Here is a 20,113-nt window from a genome sequence, read left to right as displayed (position 1 = left end):
ATCTGAAGCAAGTAAGAAACAATGCTAAGACTTGCTAAAACCGGTGATGCATCCACTCACGTTTTCTATGCTGGAAACAGTGTGAGTGTGCACACATGCACACCACTGCACCACGTTTGTGCTGCCTTGGGATTCGGTGACCTGGAGATCATCAGGGTCTTGGTGACAGCTGTTTCCATGTCTTAAGGGGACCAGACACCAGAGGAGAGCAGGCTGAGGAATGCCTGAGATTTGAGAACATGGAGACAAAATATCTAGACTGTGGTTTGGAGAAATTTAACTATAAAATAGGAGAGAGAGGGTCAGTAGCCAGTGATCTGTCCATAGTGGAGGCAAGGTTTCCTTCTCATTGCAGGGATCAGACATTACAGACATCATCGAAGTCTCCTGCCTGCCTCGCCTCCATCCCACTCCCCTTCCTCTCTCCCCAAAGGTAACTGCTCTCAGGAACTCACTGTCACTGTCACACATGTTTTATATTTTTACTACATATTGATTTGTCTGGAAACATTTTAAGGTCTCATTTTATTGTTTTTTAATATTTCTGTAAATGATGTGATACCGTTCATATTGTCCCAGAACGTGCTCATTTTCTTCACATTACAGTTTAAAGCTCTGTCAAGGCTGATAAATGGGAATCCCCAGAGCACTCCACGGCACTGGTATCCTCTCAGTCCAGTCCTGATCCACTGCTGATGGGCAGGGTTCTGCTCATGCAGTCATGGTGCAGACCACACTCCTGGGCTGGCCACCCCATGCCTGTGCACTGGCTTTCTCCGGGGCAGAGGCTGCAGGTGGGCTGGTTGGGCCGTGAGCACCTTTGCCTTTATGGAGACTCACCAGACATCATGCCAGTGTACACTCCTGCAGCAGTGCAGGCAAGTTCCTCTGCCCTTGCCCCTTCCACACTGGGTGTTGCTAGATTTCCAGTGGGGAGATGTGGGACTGTACAATCGCCCACAGAAAGGTTTCTGTTGAGAGAGAAATTAAATACAGAGCATCTAGAAGTGCATGCTGGGGTAGGGGATGGGGAGATGGCAGCCAGAGAAGGATTCCCCAGCAGACATATGCCCCCCTATATGTAGAACTCTTTACAGGTCAATGCGAGGAGCCAGTTGGGACCTTCCTCTTTGCACTTGGTGAGATGATGGATCCCAGACTTGCCCGTAGTGCATGGCGGCCTCGCTGCCTGCTCCCCAGCTGATCCCTCCTGCTCCCACTGCACAGTGCCCACACGCCCAGCAAGGCACTTACACAGAGAATAATTGCCAGGTGTTTATTGAACTGTTTTCCCCCACAAGACTCAGCTGCTCGAAGCAGGGGCTATGTTACTGTCTCCTCAACCTCCAGAACTTTGCAAGGGCCTGGCACACAGTTGGAGCTCAATGAATACTTTTTGAATTGCTTTAAAGCTAGTATTGCAGTGCCCACTGGCATGTGTCTCCTATATACGGTGCTCTGATTTCAGACACGTGCACAATTTAAGAGAAAGGAGCCAAGTGGGAGCCAGGAAGAAGCAACTTCAATCAGGAGTGTGGACGGCAGACAAAGAGTCCCACCCAGGAGGCTTTCTTCTTCTACCCTCTCTTCCCCTCCCTCTCTGGCCCCCAGCTACCTCAAAACCCCGACTTCCTTCGCTAGTTGTAAAATAAATTAATATGCTTTAGCCTTTCCTATAAAAAACTGATCTTCATCCTCTCACTGTCTCTAGAAAATTCTTATATTAATTTATACTACTTCCAGTTTTGTTCTCTCTTACTCAGAAATGAGGAAAAGTCCTGAGACCAGAAAATGGAAAAAAGAGAATTCCAAGCCAGCAAAGCACTAAACAAGTTCAAATATCTAAACCGCATGGGTGGGTATTGGGGGAGTGACATTCACAGCACACATTTAAGAAGTCAAAGCTGAAATCTGGGGCTAATGTCATAACGCTGATGGGTGAAATGAAGAAAAAGAATTCCCCAATTTCTATTTACTTTTATCATTCAAGGAAAATGGTTTGCAGGTGTTAAAGGGTGGAAAGAAAGCCTAAAACCAGTCTGGAGAGCTTGGAGAGCTGTGATATGCTCTGAGCCTCCAGGCTGAAATGGACGCCTCATGAAGTCGGCCTTGGGGGGTTCAGGTGAGCTCCGCCAGGTGCCATCTTTGACCCTTTACCTCGTCCTATTGGCTTCTGAATCATCGACAAGTTGTACAAAGTCATGGAGAGCCTGCTTTCAAGAAATATGTGGGAATGAAGTTGGACATGAGCTGGGACTAGACTTTGTGTTCCTTAAGGACTAAGGGAAGAGGGTGGCAGCTGTGGATAAGGAAGGGGAAGTTCTAATACTCGAAGGTAGAGGTCTGGGGGATGAGTGAACTCAAAGGACTAAAAGTCAGCTGGAGATCCATGAAGGCAACTCAGAAAAATCTTCGTGGCAGCTCCTCTTTGACAGTCCCTCCACCATTTTGGAAGTGAAAGAAAACCAGGGAAACACCAGGATAAGCTAATATTTATAGGAAAACCTCAGGCGAATAAAATGGCAAGGATGTAAACCAAAAGTGCTGGTTGTGTCCATGAGCCTGGGAGGCCAGCAAGAAGCTGGGGACAGGGCAGCCTCCGTCAGACAGGGAGGCCTCGAGGTAGGCAAGTGAGCAACCCAAAGAACCTGAGCTGCCCCCTCCAGGCTCCTCCAAATCTGACCTTTGCTACAGTATAGATGAGTCAGCAGAGCTCATCAGCTCCACGGATGTAAAGACGGTGTAGGAGGAAGCATATGGTGGAGGGAAGAATCAGCACCCCGAAATGACTGTGTCATGCTGAAGAAATAGGCCAAATCCAGCTAGGATCGCACTCAGTAAAAACGAGCATCATCTGTGGTCCTTGGGGCTAAAACCCAACTGCATTAGGAAGGTACAGTTTAGCAGCAACGTGTCTGACACTTAGGAGTTTTAGTCAAGGAATCAACAGAAATATTGACACCCAAAAAGTTAGCACGAACTTGGGCTGGCTTCTGGAAGGTTAGCATCTGGCACAGTGGAGTTGCGGTCTTGGCAGACACAATGCCGATTGCCCTTACCTGGAGCACTGGACTCAGTTCATGATGGAGTCGCACCTGGAGAGCGGCTTGAGCAGAGGAGACCTAGTGGGCTGTGACTGTGGGCCAGGACATCCTGCCACATGAAGAAAAGTCAACAAATGGATTTCACCTACAGACAAGAAGACCCCCTCTTACTCAGAGGGTAGGTAAGAGCTATCCTCACATAAAGGAAGGAAGCCGTGGCAATGAGCATTCAGATGAGCAAGTCCTGTTATAAGAACTAATATTGGGACCACACAGCGGGAGCCAGAGAAGACAGCCTTCAGCGCAAAGACAGAAATCCCTAGTACCCGCTCAGAGCTGTGCGAAAGGAAAGGGCTTTCTCAGTAGAAAGTACACTCTCCAACTAAGGACAAACTACAGGAGATGCTGCAGAGGTCATCAGATGCAGACTTTCAACTCTAGTGACAGACTTCAGTTTTCTTAAAAATTATCTCTGACTCTATGAGGATGATGTCCATTCTCTGATCATGATAAACAAGTGAGGTCACATTGTTTGTAATGACTGGTTGACACAAATCATTTAAAAGAAATCTCATTGGTAAAACATCCTTAATCCACTTCCTTAGGTGACAGAAAGCAGAGGAGAATTAAAATGTGCTCTTTCATGGCAGGCACTATGGCTGGCTATCTGTATTTTTTAATCCTTAATTTAATCTTAAATAACAACCTTTTGAGATAAGTATTTCTATTTACCTTTAATAGATCAGAAAACTGGCTCATAGAGGCTACATAGTTTGGATGAGATTGGCCAGGCCATAAGTTACCAAAGACTTACAATGGGCTTTATGGAAATTCAATTTTCTGATTCAGATATTAAAAAACCGGAAGGAGCATTGCTCTCATCTTACAACCAAAAAATTTGGATAATTTGCGAAAATCACAACTTTTCTTGAATAAATCAGAGAGCTGAGATTGCAGGATAAACAAGTAACCCAAAATCTAAGGAAAATAGGCACCTCCAAGGAAAGGAGCAGCCACAGACAATGGACACTGTAAAAGAAGAATTTATTTACAAATTTTAATGAATTTCTAAAGATTGAGTGTGCATTAATGTGAGAACCCTACCCTAAAAACAAGATAACAGAGAAGAATTTGAAACTCATATTGCACTGAGCATGAACACAACAATAACAAAACCTAACCACAGCTTAACTTATGACTAGATATACTCAAATGATTACACTAAAGTCTTAGCCAAAAACAAAAAAGAGGAATATCCATTTCCAAGCATTAACACTAGTTATGTAAGTCTCTGTTGTCCTGTTGAAGATATTTGGCTCTCATACAAAAATGTAAGACACACAAAGAAACACAGGGGAAAAAACAGTATCAACAAGACCAGATTTTGATATGACACAAATGTTGAAGCTATTACATGAAATATTTAAAATAAATATAATTAACATGTTAAAATCTCAAGTGGAATAGTTAGATAGTATGCATGATCTGATGGAGATCTTCAAGAGAGATATGAAAATTACAGGAAATAATCAAATGAGGACATGAAAAATGAAAAGCATGATAACAAAGTTGAAAGAGGCTTTATTGGATTCAATAATAGAATCAATGCAGCTGAGGAAAGAATCAGTAACTTGAAGATAAGTCACTATGAATTATACAAACTAAAACATACACACAAAAAAGTAGTGGTAATAAAAACAGAGTATCCATAAGCTGTAGGATAATATCTAACAGTCTAACATATGTATATTTGGAAGGAGAAGAAGAGAGAAAAAACAGGCAGCAAAAATATTTGAAAAGATAATGGGCAAAGTTCATAACAGCCCCCAAGCCACAGACCCAAATTCTTCAAAAACACCAAACAGAATAAATGCATAAACCATCTCCCCAAATCCATGCATATCATCTTTAAAATGTTGAAAATCAATTATAAAAAGAAAATGTTAAAGGCAGCCACAGAGGGAGAAAGCATATTACATACAAAGGAACAAAGATGGGAATTGCATAAGACTTTTAATCAAAAAATGTACAAGTCAGAAGACAATAAAGTGGCAGATTTTGGCTGGGCACGGTGGCTCACGCCTGTAATCCCAGCCCTTTGGGAGCCCCAAAGCAGGCAGATCGCCTGAGGTCAGGGGTTCGGGACCAGCCTAGCCAACATGGCAAAACCCTGTCTCTACTAAAAGTACAAAAATTAGCTGAGCATGGTAGCACATGTCTTTAATCTCAGCTACTTGGGTGATGAGGCAGGAGAATCGCTTGAACCCGGGAGGTAGAGGTTGCAGTGAGTCAAGATCGTGCCACTGCACTCCAGCCTGGGCAACAGAGTGAGACTCTATCTCAAAAAAATAAAAAAATAAAAAATAAAGTGGCAGATTTTAAAAACTGAAGGAAAAACAATGACAACTCAGAATTCTAAATCCAATAAAGTATCTTTCAAAACTGAAGGAGAAATAAAAACACTTTTGTTAAACAAAACAAAGAAAGTTCATGACTAGCACATTTGCCCAAAAATAACTGAAAAAGGAATTTCTTCAATTAGAGGAAATATGATACAGATACCCAGGTCTATACAATATAAAGAAAAGCACTGGAAATGACATAAAGAAAATGTTATAAAATTTATATTTGTTCCATTGTTCTAAAAGTTAACTTATGTCTAAACCAGGGATCAAATAAAAATTTTCTGTAAAGGAGATTTTAGGCTTTTGGAACCACATATGGTCTCTGTCACATTTTTTGTTTTGTTATTGTTGTTGTCATGGTTGTTTGCTATGTTTTGTTTTGCATTATTTTAAAACCCTTTAAAATGTAAAATTCAGAAAAGATACGGAGGTGCATTTCTTAGGTTTTCTTTTTGTGTGGTATATCGTAGACTTGTGACAGGAATAGCTGGCTACCAGATACACAAAAAAGCGTAAATTTTTATGTATTTATTTATTTTTATTTATGTATTCATTTTTGAGACGGAGTAATAAAAGGCCCAATCAGTGGCTGCTTCTCTAGCCAAAGGACCAGAGAGGAGGCTACCCAGCAACACAGAAAACTCACAGATAATAAGTGCCCAACCCCAGCCAAATACTACAGAAAAAACTATGGCCCCACTGACACTAGCAAGGTCCAGTGGAGAGCTTAGGCTTCAGCCCAGGCCATAAAAAGACACCCAATCCCCTATCAGAGTGGTATCAGGGAAGGCCAAGTCTGAAGCTGCAACTCTCATCACCTGAGCAGTAAGGAGGTCCCACTGCTGTGCCCGTTGAGATCACATAGAAGCCTGGAGTTCCATCTTTTACTGACAGGAACGAGGTGCTCTTCACCTCCTCTGGGGTACTGTCAGGCATGGTCAAGTGGAGAGTGCTACCACTGCCTAGGAGAAAAGAGGCCAACCCGCGTGGTTAAGGTGGAGGCCACCTGGGAGGCGGCAACAAGGTACTTCTGCTCTTTCTAGCCATTAACAGGGTGCTATTAACAGAGACCTAGTGAAGAGCAGAAGTGCCATGCCCACTTATCAGTAATGAGGAGCCCCTGCCTCTCTAGGGTGTCTAATGAAGCTAGTGGCAAAACTGGACTTGTCTTCTCTTTGCGTTATAATAAGGTGGCACCACTCTTTCATTTCCTGCTGGAGTCATGTCTTAAGAAGCCAACAAAAGCAAAAGGTTTGACCAAGGTCTAGTCTCACAACATAATACCAAAATTTTCCAGGTTTCAACTGAAAATTACTTGTCATTTAAAAAAACAGTAAAATCACAACTTGAATGAAAAGAGAAAGCAGCAGACACCAACACTGAGATGACACAAATGTTTAAATTATCTGAAAAAGATATTAAGAGTGATAAAAATCCTTCAATAAATGATTGTAAATATGCTTGAAACAAATGAAAAAACAGAAAGTGTCAGCAGAGAGATAAAAGATGTAAAAGATGAAGTAAAAAGAAATTATAGAACTGAAAACTACAATGCCCAACTTAAAAAACTCAGTGGATTGGCTACATAGCATAATTTAAAGGACAGAGAAAAGAATCAGTGAACTTGAAGGTAGAACAATAGAAGAACAACAGAGAGAAAACAGACAGGAAAAAATATATATAAACTGAATCTCAGAGACATATTGTATTAGTTCATTCTTGCATTGCTATAAAAAATATCTGAGACTGGGTCATTTACAAAGAAAAGAGGTTTGGCTGGGTGCGCTGGCTCATGCCTGTAATCCCAGCAGTTTGGGAGGCCAAGGCAGGTGGATCGCCTGAGGTCAGGAGTTCGAGAGCAGCTGGGCCAACATGGTGAAACCCCATCTCTACTAAAAATACAAAACTTAGCTGGGCTTCATGGCGGACACCTGTAATCCCAGATACTCAGGAGGCTGAGGCAGGAGAATTGCTTGAACCTGGGAGGCAGAGGTTGCAGTGAGCCGAGATCTCACCAATGCACTCCAGCCTGGGCAACAAGAGCAAAACTCCGTTTCAAAAAAAAAAAACAAAAAAAACAAAAAAAACAGAAAAACACTTAATTGACTCATGGTTCTGCAGGCTGTACAGGAGGCATAGTAGCTTCTGCTTCTGGTGGCAAGGCCTCAGGAAATTTACAACCGTAGTGAAAGGGGAAGGGGAAGCAGGCACGCCTTAAATGGCCAAAATGGCCCAAGCAGGAAGAAGGGAGGGGGTGGGGAGGTGCCACACACTTTTAAACAACCAGATCTCATGAGAGCTCTATCAGGAGAACAGCTCTAGGAGGACGGTGCTAAACCATTAGAAATTGCCCCCATAATCCAATCACCTCCCACCAAAACCCACCTCCAGCATTGGGGATTACATTTCAACGTGAGTTTTGGGTGGGGACACAGACTGAAACCATATTACATATGATCTAATATTCATGTCCTTGGAGCCCTGAAAGAAGAAAGAGAGTGAGACTGAGAAGTATTTAAAGAAATAATGGCTAAATTTTTCCCATATTGGGCAAAAGACAAGATTCAAGAAGCTTAGAGAGGGTCAGGTGTGGTTGCTCAAGCCTGTAATCCCAGCACTTTGGGAGGCCAAGGCAGGTGGATCACCTGAGGTCATGAGTTCGAGACCAGCCTGACCAACATGAAGAAACCCTATCTCTACTAAAAATACAAAAATTAGCCAGGCATGGTGGCATGCACCTGTAATTGCAACTACTCAGGAGGCTGAGACAGGAGAATTGCTTGAACCCATGAGGTGGAAGTTGCAATGAGCTAAGATCATGCCATTGCACCCCAGCCTGGGCAAAAAGAGCGAAACTCCATTTCAAAAAAACAAAACAAAAAAAAAAGAAGCTTAGAGAAACCCAAAGAGTATAAACCCAAATAATCTACTGTAAAACATATAGTAAAATTTCTGAAAACTGAAGACCAAAAAAAAAAAAAAAAACTCTTGAAAGCAGCAAGAGAGTAATTATACCTTACCTAAAAAGGAAAAATAATTCAAACGACAGTAGATTTTCTCAACAGACACTACAAAGGAAGTAGCTAAAAGGAAAAAAAAAAAAAAAGCAAAAATAAAAAACAGAATTCTACGTCCAGAGAAAATATCCTTCAAGAATGAAGGGGAATTCAAGACACTCTCAGATGAAGCAAAGAGATTTTTGTCATCAATTATCCCACCTTAAGGGAATGGCTAAGGGAAGTCCTCTAAACAGAATGGAAGCAAGACTTTTAGAATATTAGGTAAGAAGAAAGAACAAAGGAAAGAATCAAAACATGGATGAAGAATACATTTTCCTTCTCCTTTTGCACACTTTACATTATGTTTGATAGTTGAAGCAAAAATGTTAACACTGTCTTATATGACTCTAAATGTGTGTTGACTAAATAGGTAAAACAGTTATACTATAAACTTTGGAAGGTAAAAGGAACTAAAAGGAGAAGTTATCTACACTTTACTCAAGCTAGCAAAATTTGGGCAATAGTAGGCAGTGATAAGTTAGGTATATATAATATAATACATAGAGAAACCACCAAAATATCTATCTAGAAGCATACACTCAAAATCACTATAGGTTAATCAAACTGGAGTTCTAAAAAAAGGTTCAAGCAACCCATAAGGAAAAAAGAACATGAAAATAGAGAAATGAAAAACAGAGAGAACAAACAAAAAACAAAAATTAAAATGGCAGATTTAAACCCTAATATGTCAATAATTACACTAAATGTATATATTCTAAATTCAATGATTAAAAGACAGAGACTGACAGAGGGAATAAAAGAATGAATAAGTCAACTATATATGGTCTACAAGTAATTCACTTCAATTATAGTGACATAGAGAGGCTGATATTAAAAGGCTAGAAAAAGATACACCATGCAAATATTAATCAAAAGAAAACATGAGTGACTGTATTAATCAGATTAAGTAAACTTTAGAGCAAGGAAAACTACTAAAGACAGAGAAAGACATTACATAATGATACAAGGGTAAATCCACCAAGAAAACTTAGTAATCCTAAATGTGTCTACATCAAACAACAGAGCTGCAAGATATGTAAGACAAAAATGAATAGAACTAAAAAACAAACAAACAACAAATTCTTAATAATAATTGGAGACTTCAAAACCCATCTCTCAACAACAGATAAAACAACTAGACAGAAAATCAGCAAGGAATAGAATTTAACACAGTCCTACCTCAAAAGCATCTAATCAAAACTTACAGAAATTTCCACTCAACAACAACAGGATACACGTTCTTTTCAAGCATCCATGGAGCACTCACCAAGATAGACCATACCTTGAGGCATAAAACAAATCTCAACAAATGTTCAAGATTGAAATCCCACACTGTTCTCTGGCTACAATGAAATCAAAATAACAATAATAAAAATAGTAAAGATAATAGCAGAATCAATGAAATTGAAAACAAACCCAATACAGAAACAAAAAGCTGTTTATATGAAAAGTTCAATAAAATTGGCAAACCCCTAGTAAGGAAAAAGAGAAGATACAAATTACCCATCAGGAATAAAGCATGAGATATCACTAAAGACCTGGCAAACAACAAAAGATAAGAGAATATTACATACAACTCAATACAATACAATACAATATAATACACATCAATTTGACAACTTAGCTGAAATAGGCCAATTTCTCAGAAAGTACAAACTAACATAACTCATGCAACTTGAAATGGAGAACTTGGGAGATGCTCAACTATTAAAGAAATTGAATTCATAAATTTAAAATACCCCTAAAAATCTCCTGGCCCAGTTAATTTCACCAGTGAATGCCACCCAACATTTAAAGGACACGCATTCTACACAGTATTTTCTTAAAAAAAAAAAAAAACAGGACAAAACACTACCCAATTAATTTATGAAGTTAGTATTACCTTGATACTAAAACCAAAGAAAGGTAATATAAAAAAAGAAAACTACAGGCCGATATCCTTCATAAGTAGAGGCACAAAAATGTTTAACAAAGCATTAGCAACTAAAATTCAGAAATATAAAAAAATATAGCATGATATAAGTAAGGCATATTCCAGGATAAAAGATTGGTTTAATATCAATACTAAAATCAATCAAAATAATCCCTATCAGAAAATTAAAGAGGAGAACTTCTTCAACTTGATAAAGAGCATATAAAAACAAAAACAAAACAAAACAAAAACCTCCAACTACCATTGTTCTTAATGGTGAAAGACTGGTTGCTTTCCCCCTAAGACTGGGAACAAAGTAAATATAGCCACTCTCATCACTGTTATTCAATAAGGATTAGACACTGCAATAAGACACGACAAAAAGCATATACATTTTTAAAAAGAGCTAAAACTGTCACTATATGCAGATGACATTATGATCTATGTAGAAAACCCCAAGGAATCTAAAAAATAATATCCTAGAACTAATAAGTGAATTTAGCCAAATCTTAGGTTGTAAGCTCAATATACAAAACTGAACTACAGTCCTGCATTGCTTAGCAACGGTGATACGTTCTGAGAAATGCATCATTAGGGGATTTTGTCATTGTGCAAACACACAGTGTACTTACACAAACCTAGATGGTATAGCCTAGTACACACCCTGGCCATAAGGTACAGCCTATTACTCCTAGGCTACACACCTGTATAGCATGTTATTGTACTGAATACTGCAGACAATTGTAACACAATAGTAAGTATTTGTGTACCTAAACATATCTAAGCATAGAAAAGGTACAGTAAATATACCACATAAAAGATATTTTAAATGGTACACCTGTAGAGAGCACTGACCATGAATGGAGCTTGCAGGACTGGAAGTTGCTCTGGGTGAGTCAGTGAGTGGTGAGTGAATGTGAAGCCCCAAGATATTACTCTACACTAGTCTAGGCTTTATACACACTGTACACTTAGGCTACACTACATTTATTTAAAAATATTTTCCTTTCCTTAATAATAAGTTAACCTTAGCTCACTATAACGTTTTTACTATATAAACTTTTTTTAACTCTTTGACTCTTTTGTAATAATACTTAGCTTAAAATACAAACACATTATACAGCTGTACAAAAATATTTTATTTCTTTACATTCTTAATCTTATCTATATCTTTTCTATTTTTACGTATTTATTTATTTATTTTGCTTTTTAAACTTTTTGTTAAAGACTAAGTCACAAACACAAGCATTAGCCTAGACCTACACATGGTCAGGATCATCAATATCACTGTCTTCCACCTCCATATCCTGTCCAACTGGGAATCTTCAGGGGTAACGGCATGCACCGAGCTGTCATCTCCTAGGATAACAATGTCTTCTTCTGGATACCTCCTGAAGGACCTGCCTGAGGCTGTTTTACAGTTAACTATTTTCTAATAAATAGAAAAAATAAACTCCAAAGTAAGGATAAAACGCGTAGTATAGTAAATACATAAGCCAGTAACATAGTCCTTTATTATCATTACCAGGTATTATGTATTATACGTAATTCTATGTGCTATACTTTTACAAGACTGGCAGTACAGTAGATTTGTTTACATCAGTGTCACCACAAACACATGAATAATGCACTGACATGATGATGGCTACAGCGTCACTGGACACCAGGAATTTTTCAGCTTCATTATAATCTTACAGGACCACCATTGTATATGCGGTCCACCATTGACCAAAACATCACTGTGCAACTCATGACTGTATATTTCTATATTCTAGCAATGAACACTTGGATAACAAAATTTAAAAATATAATAGTATTTTAAATCATCCAAAAATGAAATATTTAGGTGCAAATCTAACAAAACAAGTACATGTGTTGTATGCGGAAAAATACAAAATGTTGATAAAAGAAATGAAAGAAGATCAAAATAAATGGAGAAACATACCATTTTCATATGCTGGACGTGTCAGTATAGTAAAGCTGTCAATTCTCCTAAAACTGATATAAAGTTAAAATACAATTTCTATCAAAACCCCAGCAATATACCTGCATATTTTTATAGACAAATGTTTGTGAAAATGCAAAGGAGCATGAAGCATTAAACATTTTTGAAAAAGAAGAATGAAGTGAAAGGAATCAATCTATCTGATTTCAAAACTTATTATATAACCCCAGTAATCAAGACTATGTGGTATTGGTGGAGGAACAGACAAAGAACAGTAGAGAACCCAAAAATAGACCCATGCAAATACATCCAACTGATTTTTCACAAAGGTGCAAAAGCAATTCAATCAAGGAAAGCTTTTCAATGAACAATTAGATGTGCATAAGCAGAAAAAAAACAAAAACTCCAAAACCTTGGCCTAAACCTCAAACCCTAAACAAAACTTAACTCAGGGTCTTTTGCATGTAAAATATAAAACTATCAAACTGGCCGGGCGCAGTGGCTCACGTCTGTAATCCCAGCGCTTTGGGAGGCTGAGGCAGGTGCATCATTTGAGGTCAGGAGTTCAACACCAGCCTGGTCAACATGGTGAAACCCCATCTCTATTAAAAATACAAAAATTAGCCAGGCGTGGTGGTACACGCCTGTAATCCCAGCTACTCGGGAGGCTGAGGAAGGAGAATCACTAGAGGTTGCAGTGAGCCAAGATTGTGCCACTGCACTCTAGCCTGGGTGACAGAGCAAGTCTCCATCTCAAAAAAAAAAAAAAAAAAATTAAACTATAAAAAAAAGGAAAGTATTTGGGATCTAGGACTAGACAAAGAGAACTTTATATAGTATAACCTACAAAAAAATGAAAAATTGGACTTTATTAAAGTTAAAAATGTTTGCTTTGAGAAAAAGCCTATTAAGAGGATGAAAATACAAGTTATGTACTTGTAGAAAATATTTGCAACCCACACGTCTAACAAGGACTAGTACCAGACATATATAAAGAATTCTCAAAACTCAGCAGTAAAAAAATCAAACTTACCATTTAGAATATGGGCAAGGATCTGAACAAACATTTCACTGAAAAGGATATAGAGATGGCAAAAAAGTACATGACAGTGTGTTCAGCATCACTAACCACAAGGAAAATGTACACTTAAACCACAGTGAGATATCACTATATGAAAATAAAAAATAGTGATAACAGCAAATGCTAGTGAGTGTGTGGAGAGACTAGCACACATACATTGATGGTAGGAGAGTAAAATGGAACAAGAACTCTAGAAATTTGAGTTAACAATCATTTGACAATTTGACAACTAAACATATAGCCACCATACAAACCAGTCACTGCTTACTTACGCTCGTGTCCCAGAAAAATCAAAACTTGTGTTCACACAAAAACCCATCCACAAATGTTTTATCAGCTTTATTCATAATTAAAAAAAAAAAACTGGAAACAACCCAGATATTCTTCAGTGGGTAAAGGGTTAAACAAATTGGTACTCCTTAGGCTGGGCATGCTGGCTCATACCTGTAATCCCAGCACTGTGGGAGGCCAAGGCGGGAGGATCACGAGGTCAGGAAACCAAGACAATCCTGGCCAACACAGTGAAACCCCATCTCTACTAAAAATACAAAAAAGTAGCCGGGCGTGGTGGCACATGCCTGTAGTCCCAGCTACTCGGGAGGCTGAAGCAGGAGAATCGCTTGAACCCGGGAAACGGAGTTGCAGTGAGCCAAGATCGTGCCACTGCACTCCAGCCCAGGCGACAGAGCAAAACTTCATCTCAAAAAAAAAAAAAAAAAAAAAAAAATCAGTACTTTCATACCATGAAATACCACTCAGCAATAAAAAGGAGCAAACCATGGGTACATGAAACAACTCAAGTCAATCTTCACAGATTTATGCTGAGCAAAAAAACCCAATCCCAAAACATTACATCCCGCATCATTCCACTTATGTAACATCACTGAAATAGCAAGATTAGAGAAATAGAGAATGGAGGAGTGGTGGTCAGGCTTAAGAACAGGGTTGGGGGTCTCAAAAGGGAAGGATTTCTGCCTCGATCTGGCACCCTCCTTTCTCTGAACCACCCCCTTCTGCATCATGATGGGCATGGGACGGACAAGAGCTCCTCTCAACAGAACCAGACCTGTCTCTGGCCAAAGGGAATTTCCAAAGATGTGTCTCCAGAAGCAGAATAAGAGAGGTTTGATTTGAGCACATAAGTATTTCAGCGAATCACTCTCTTTGAAAATGATGAGAGAGACAGGATTTTTGAAATTTCCAGGTCTGTCCTGGGATGTAGATTGGGTTCAATAGGCCATGTCCACCAGGAAATTTCTAAAGTCAGGTTATTAAAAGGCTGGCAGGGTGGGAACTCACAGTACTGCTGGACTGCAGCCCCAGACACTGAGATGAATGCCGAGTCTTTTTTGACAGGAATCGCAGCCTCTCGTGCAGATTCATTTATCGAAAGGAGGTAATGGGAATGGGAAAGAAACTCTGCTCTAATTTCATAACATGTAGCTCTCAACATCTTTAAACTCCAGGACCGCCTTTGCAGTTGAGCTTCTCTGGAAATATGCTACTCCCTGAAAGGACATATGCACAGCCATGCTGAGGCAGGGTGGATGTGCTCACCCAGGATGCAAGTTTGGAACATGGGCCCTAGAACTGCAGGTTGGGGGCTGTAAGGGCCTCAGGGTCAATGAGTGTCACTCAGCCAAGGCATGCATTCTGTGGATCTCTTTGGACACTTACACTCTCCCAATTCTGTCCCCTCTGGGGTGGTGCTGGGCAGCTCCTGTTCCAGGGGATGCCCTCCTCATCCCCACCTGCTGTAGGGCTCAGACGTTGCTAGGCCCTGAAGGAGATAGTAAGGAGGAAGCAGACATGAGCTGTGATCTCACAGAGCTGACATCTGAGGTGACAGAGAAAACCCTACATAACGTTGTATGTCCTGGAGTAGGACCAGGTGCTGGAATGGACTCCAGACTGCAGGTGCTCTGGGACACTAACCTCATGGGAACTTGCAGTGCTGGCTGCACAGGAGTGGGTGGCAGGTCAGCATCACCCCAGCCACTGATGCTTTGAGGTAGGACTGAATCCTGGCACCACTGCTTAATAGCTGGTGATGCTGAGCTAGACATCACCTCTCTGCCTTGGTTTTCTCAGCTGTAAAATGGGGATCGTTATACCCGCCTTTCTGGACTGAGTTAAGATTCAACATGACATTAAGCACATCAGCACAGTACAATGTGTGGAAAAGCAGAAAAGAGTGAGGGAGAAGACCCATCGCACTCACCCACACCAGCTCCCTCCCAAGTCCTGAAATTCCCACAGTAGCCTCATTCCTCAGGGGCCTTCTAGAGCCAGGGCCGTTTTAACTCCCAGAATTGGTATCCCTTGGGAAGAGAATGAAATGAGCCAGACATTCCTAAATTTGATGAATTAGCCCACAACTCCCCAGAAGCACTGTTGAAAGTAGGGGCCCTCAGAATGAGATGTGTGGGCTCGCTGGAGACCAGGGGAGACCGGGGAGCTGCATCCGGGCTGTGCACCGCAGGCCCTGACAGGTGGGCTCAGGAGGCCGCGGGGCTTGGCGATCTTGCTCTGGGCAGTGGAGGGTGCATTCGTCTGCTCACCCCAACTCTCCAGCGGACATTTACTGAGAATGGGAGGCAGGACCATGGAAATTCCATTCCCACGCGGCCCATGGGTTTGAGGGGAAAATCTTACCTGGATTTTTGTTGTTATGCTGCCATTCCCTAGTTGTGTGATTGCTTTTTCTCAGTCTCTGCTAGGCTCAGTTTCTTCATCTTTAAAATGGGAATAACAGCTCTCATCTCCTCTCAGGTGGTGAAGGATTAAATGGTACTGCTCCTGAGAGGCTCTGTTTCCTGTTGGATGAATGAGTAGAGGGAACAAGGACACCCTTTGCCCCTGCTGGCCCCCAACCACCCGTGCCCTCCTTGTCATCCTCTCCATGGAACTTCAGACTGTCCCACCGGCCCCTGTACCCCTAGTCCAATCCTTCAAGTCCCTCTTCTACACGGCCACCCGATCTGACCGCAGCTCTCCTCCTCAGCTCACAACCCTTCAGTGGCTCCCTGGTACCATGAGGCTAGGGCCCAAGTGCCTTACACTGACCCTCTCTGGGAGCTGGAATCTGCCACACTCCTGTGAACCTCAAATACCTGAGACAGGTCTCAGTCAATTTAGAAAATTTATTTTGCCAAGGTTAAGGACACACGCCTGTAACATGGCCTCAGGAGGTCCTGCCGACAGGTGCCCAACGTGGGCAGGGCTCAGCTTGGTTTTATACATTTTAGGGAGACATGAGACATCGATCAACATATGTAAGAGGAACTTTGGTTCCATTGGAAAGGCAGAGAGGGCTTCCAGGTTGTAGGTAGATAAAAGACAAGCAGCATTCTTTTGAGTTTCTGATTAGCCTTTCCAAAGGAGGCAATCAGATATGCGTCTATCTCAGTGAGCAGTGGGATGACTTTGAATAGAATGGGAATCAGGTTTTCCCTAAGCAGTTCCCAGCTTGATTTTTCTCTTTAGCTAGTGATTTGGGGGTTCCAAGATTTATTCTCCTGCCACACTCCCCAGCCTCATCCCATATCCTCCTTGACTGGAACCTCCTATTGCCCCAACCCCATGCCTTAGGCATGCCCTGCTCCCCCTGCAGACAGGCATGCACATGCAGACTTAGCTCAGCTCAGGGCACCTCTGACCCCATCTCAGCTACATGTGGTCCTTCCCACTTTGAGCCCTTGCAGCAGCCAGGGAAACACCATCCTAGCACTTATAGCTTCTTATCATGAGTGTGTCCTGCTGTGTCTGCTCCAACTCCAGGTGGTGATCAAGGCTCAAGTGTTATTTATGTATCTCCATAACCTCGGCCAGAGCAAGGCTGGAAGAGGTGGGGAAGCCAGGGGAGGGGCGAGAAGAGAAAGGGGAGGGAGGGAGAGAAGAATGGAGGGGGAGGGGAGAGAGGAAGAAACAGGGAGGAGGAAGGGAGGAGGGGAGGGTAGGAGAGAGAGGGGCAGGAAGGGAGGAGGGGAGGGTAGGAGAGAGAGAGGCAGGAAGGAAGGAAGGGAGGGTGAACTGAGGGATGGAAATGAGGTAGAGAGGGAGAAAGGGGAAGGCAGAGAGGGAGAAAGGGTGGAGGAGGGAGAGAAGGGGAAGAGGCAGAAAAGGAGGGAGAAAGAAAGTTAGCCAGTTAACTAATTAGTTAGGTAGCTGGTCACTAAAATGAGGCCAATCAAATAGAACGATTCGACCCACAGGAGTAGACTCAAACTTGACATTGTGAGCTTAGTCGTGAGATAACCAATCAGACCCTGAGAAGCAAGTTCATCCTTGGGCCATGGTGCCAAGAACTATGATGGCTTCCATCCATCTTGAGCCGCTTTTGTTATCCAAATTATAGCATGCAAGACAGAAGCAGCATAATGAGGTCCTGTGCATTCTCTGGGGGGATGGGGGAAGAGGGGTGGGAGAGGAACAAAGGCCTCCAACCTCCCAGGACGGAGGCTCCCTCGTTTACTTGGGCAGCCCCAGCTTCCTTTGAAAGCAAGAAAGGAGCACGGTCCACTGCCATGGCAACCACCCTCAGCCATCCTGGGACTGGGACGTGACAACTTACTGTGAGCCGTCCAGAGGCCAGGTTTCCCCAGTTTCCAGCCACACAGGAATAGAAGCCCTTTAAAAGGAATGACAGATGACACTTTTTAGGATCTGGCTCAACCACCAGTGACGGCTGGGGAAAACCTCTGTCCTCACCTACCATCTGCTCCATTACAGGGTGTAATTTCCCTGTCCTGGATGCCAATTTGAAAGCAGCCTGTAACTATAAAGCAAAAAAGATGCTAACCAGGGCTTATGAGTAAGTAGAAAAAAGGAGACATCACCTTCTTGCTCACATTGAGGTTTGAACTTGTGGCTGTCAGCAGGAGGCAGCAGATGCAGGCACCTCTGCGTCCTTCCCCCGGAGCCCAGGTTCACTCACAGTCACTGTGACCCACTGGGGGGTCAGTCCTGGTGTAGACAGTGGGCACTGATCTTAGATAAAGTTCCTTGGTACCACCACTGGGATAAGAATTTTTTATGCTATTCTCATTCAGCCATTGCCATGACCCTACAAGGAAGGTATCCTAAGTGAGTTGTGTGCATTCATAAAGCTCAGGTGGCAGAAGTGGCAGTGGGTTCTGCCAAAATCCATTCTTCCCATCCTCTCTAATAATAGGACTGCAGTTTGGCAATGGCTGGAGAGCTACACCGCATGCCTCAGCTCCCGCTGCACTCAGGTGGGCCCTAATGGGAGCAGAAGAGGTGGGGTCACTTGTTGACCAAAGCGTTTACAACTGGGGCTTGGCTGTTCCTTCATCTGGGTCCTCTTCCTACAAACTTGAGCATGGAAGGAGCTAGGACCCAGCCTTCATCACACAGGTGAGAACAGTGCTGAAGGAGGTGGGGAAGAAACAGTGTGGAAGGAACTCGGATCTCTGAATCAGCATGTGGAGCTGAGCCACCTGCTGACCCTAATCTCGGACCTTAGTGAGAGACAAACCTGGCCTCATGTGAGCCTCTGCCCATGGTTTGTACTGGTCACTTCACTCAGTGTCCTGTCAGATCAACAGAGACTAGGTATTTCAAACAGTAGGAATTTAATATGGAGAACCAGTTACAAACGTGTTGGAAGGTTGGAAAATTAGAAAGGGGAAGCTGAGGTTCTGCAGAGACTATGAACTGTGGGAAGCTGTCGTCACCCCTAGAGCTGGAGAAGCAAAAGAGAAAATGGCATATCCCAGAGCCCAGGATCACTGTGCCTCTGAGGCTATGGAGCACATGCTGCTGCTGCTGTGACTGTTGGAACCATCATCACAAATTAGCAATCAACAAGGGGGCTTCCCTCCCACGGACACCGTCTGTGCCAGAGTTCATGAGTGAGATGCTGCTGGAATCGGTCATCTTAGGGAGGAACCCAAGAGGCTCTTACAGCTGCAAGAGGCAGCAGAAGAGGCAGGAAGAAAATAAAATGGTTTCTCTCTTTCTCCACCTTCCAGTCTCCTGCCGGGGTTTCCCATTGGCAAGATTAAACTGGAAGGCAAGTTAGTTTGCAGGCTTCCTGCTCCCTGTGACCCAGATGGATCTGGGACCAGAGACCAGGAAGCAGCACACTGGGCTAGTGAAAGGTCTGCTACTGGGGTTGGCAGATGTCTCCACTTCTGACTGACTAACAGTGGCTTTCCAGGATGCTGCACTAAGAGGCTAGAGGAGGGGAGGACAATCAAGGGTCCACGTCTCCAGTCCACCAGGGCAGAGACAAGGCCAGAACCGGGAGGGCAGCACGGGGATTGGTGAAAGGGATGTTCTCAGGCAAAGTCAGGCCTGGGCTCTATAGGAAAGGGGCCTGAAGGAGCAGTGTGCTCCTTAGATCACAGGAGCAGTGATCTAAGCCAGCATGCACTCAACAGCTCCTCAATGTCAGGCACCACGCTGCACCCTGCAAATACACTTCCCTCACATGAACTTCATGACGGTCCCATTCAAGAGACATTTTCACTCCATTTTACATTGAGAACATTGACATCTGAGTTATGTAAACTCACTCAAGAGTTAAGTGGCAGAGGTGAACTTGTCACCCAAATCTGACTCTAAGCTTATTGACTTTGTCTCAGAACATCCCTCTCACCAATCCCCCTGCTGCCTTCCCAGTTCTGGCCTCGTCTCTGCCCTG

At 42.5% G+C, this 20,113-nt stretch overlaps 1 long non-coding RNA gene across 2 annotated transcripts in view, besides 2 other annotated features; it reads right to left on the bottom strand.

Moving 5' to 3' along the window:
- Nucleotides 16,230-17,147: an enhancer, noted in NCBI's record as "OCT4-NANOG-H3K27ac-H3K4me1 hESC enhancer chr2:129402677-129403594 (GRCh37/hg19 assembly coordinates)". NCBI's record gives its function as "activates a minimal SCP1, AML or CMV promoter by ChIP-STARR-seq in naive and primed H9 embryonic stem cells {active_cell/tissue: H9 hESC(naive and primed)}" and the evidence as "EXISTENCE:reporter gene assay evidence [ECO:0000049][PMID:30033119]".
- Nucleotides 17,474-17,975: an enhancer, noted in NCBI's record as "NANOG hESC enhancer chr2:129401849-129402350 (GRCh37/hg19 assembly coordinates)". NCBI's record gives its function as "activates a minimal SCP1, AML or CMV promoter by ChIP-STARR-seq in naive H9 embryonic stem cells {active_cell/tissue: H9 hESC(naive)}" and the evidence as "EXISTENCE:reporter gene assay evidence [ECO:0000049][PMID:30033119]".
- The window catches only part of LOC105373611 (uncharacterized), a 241,632-nt gene continuing 239,534 nt past the window's right edge, over nt 18,016-20,113 (bottom strand). For both annotated transcript variants that reach the window (XR_923318.2, XR_001739708.2), the window contains one exon: nt 18,016-18,076. This is a non-coding gene — a long non-coding RNA (uncharacterized LOC105373611). The remainder of the gene's footprint in view (nt 18,077-20,113) is intronic.

Source organism: Homo sapiens, chromosome 2, assembly GCF_000001405.40.
Source record: "Homo sapiens chromosome 2, GRCh38.p14 Primary Assembly".
NCBI lineage: Eukaryota > Metazoa > Chordata > Mammalia > Primates > Hominidae > Homo > Homo sapiens.
Note: the sequence above shows the minus strand (reverse complement) of the source record. Positions and strands in the feature narration are given on the sequence as shown.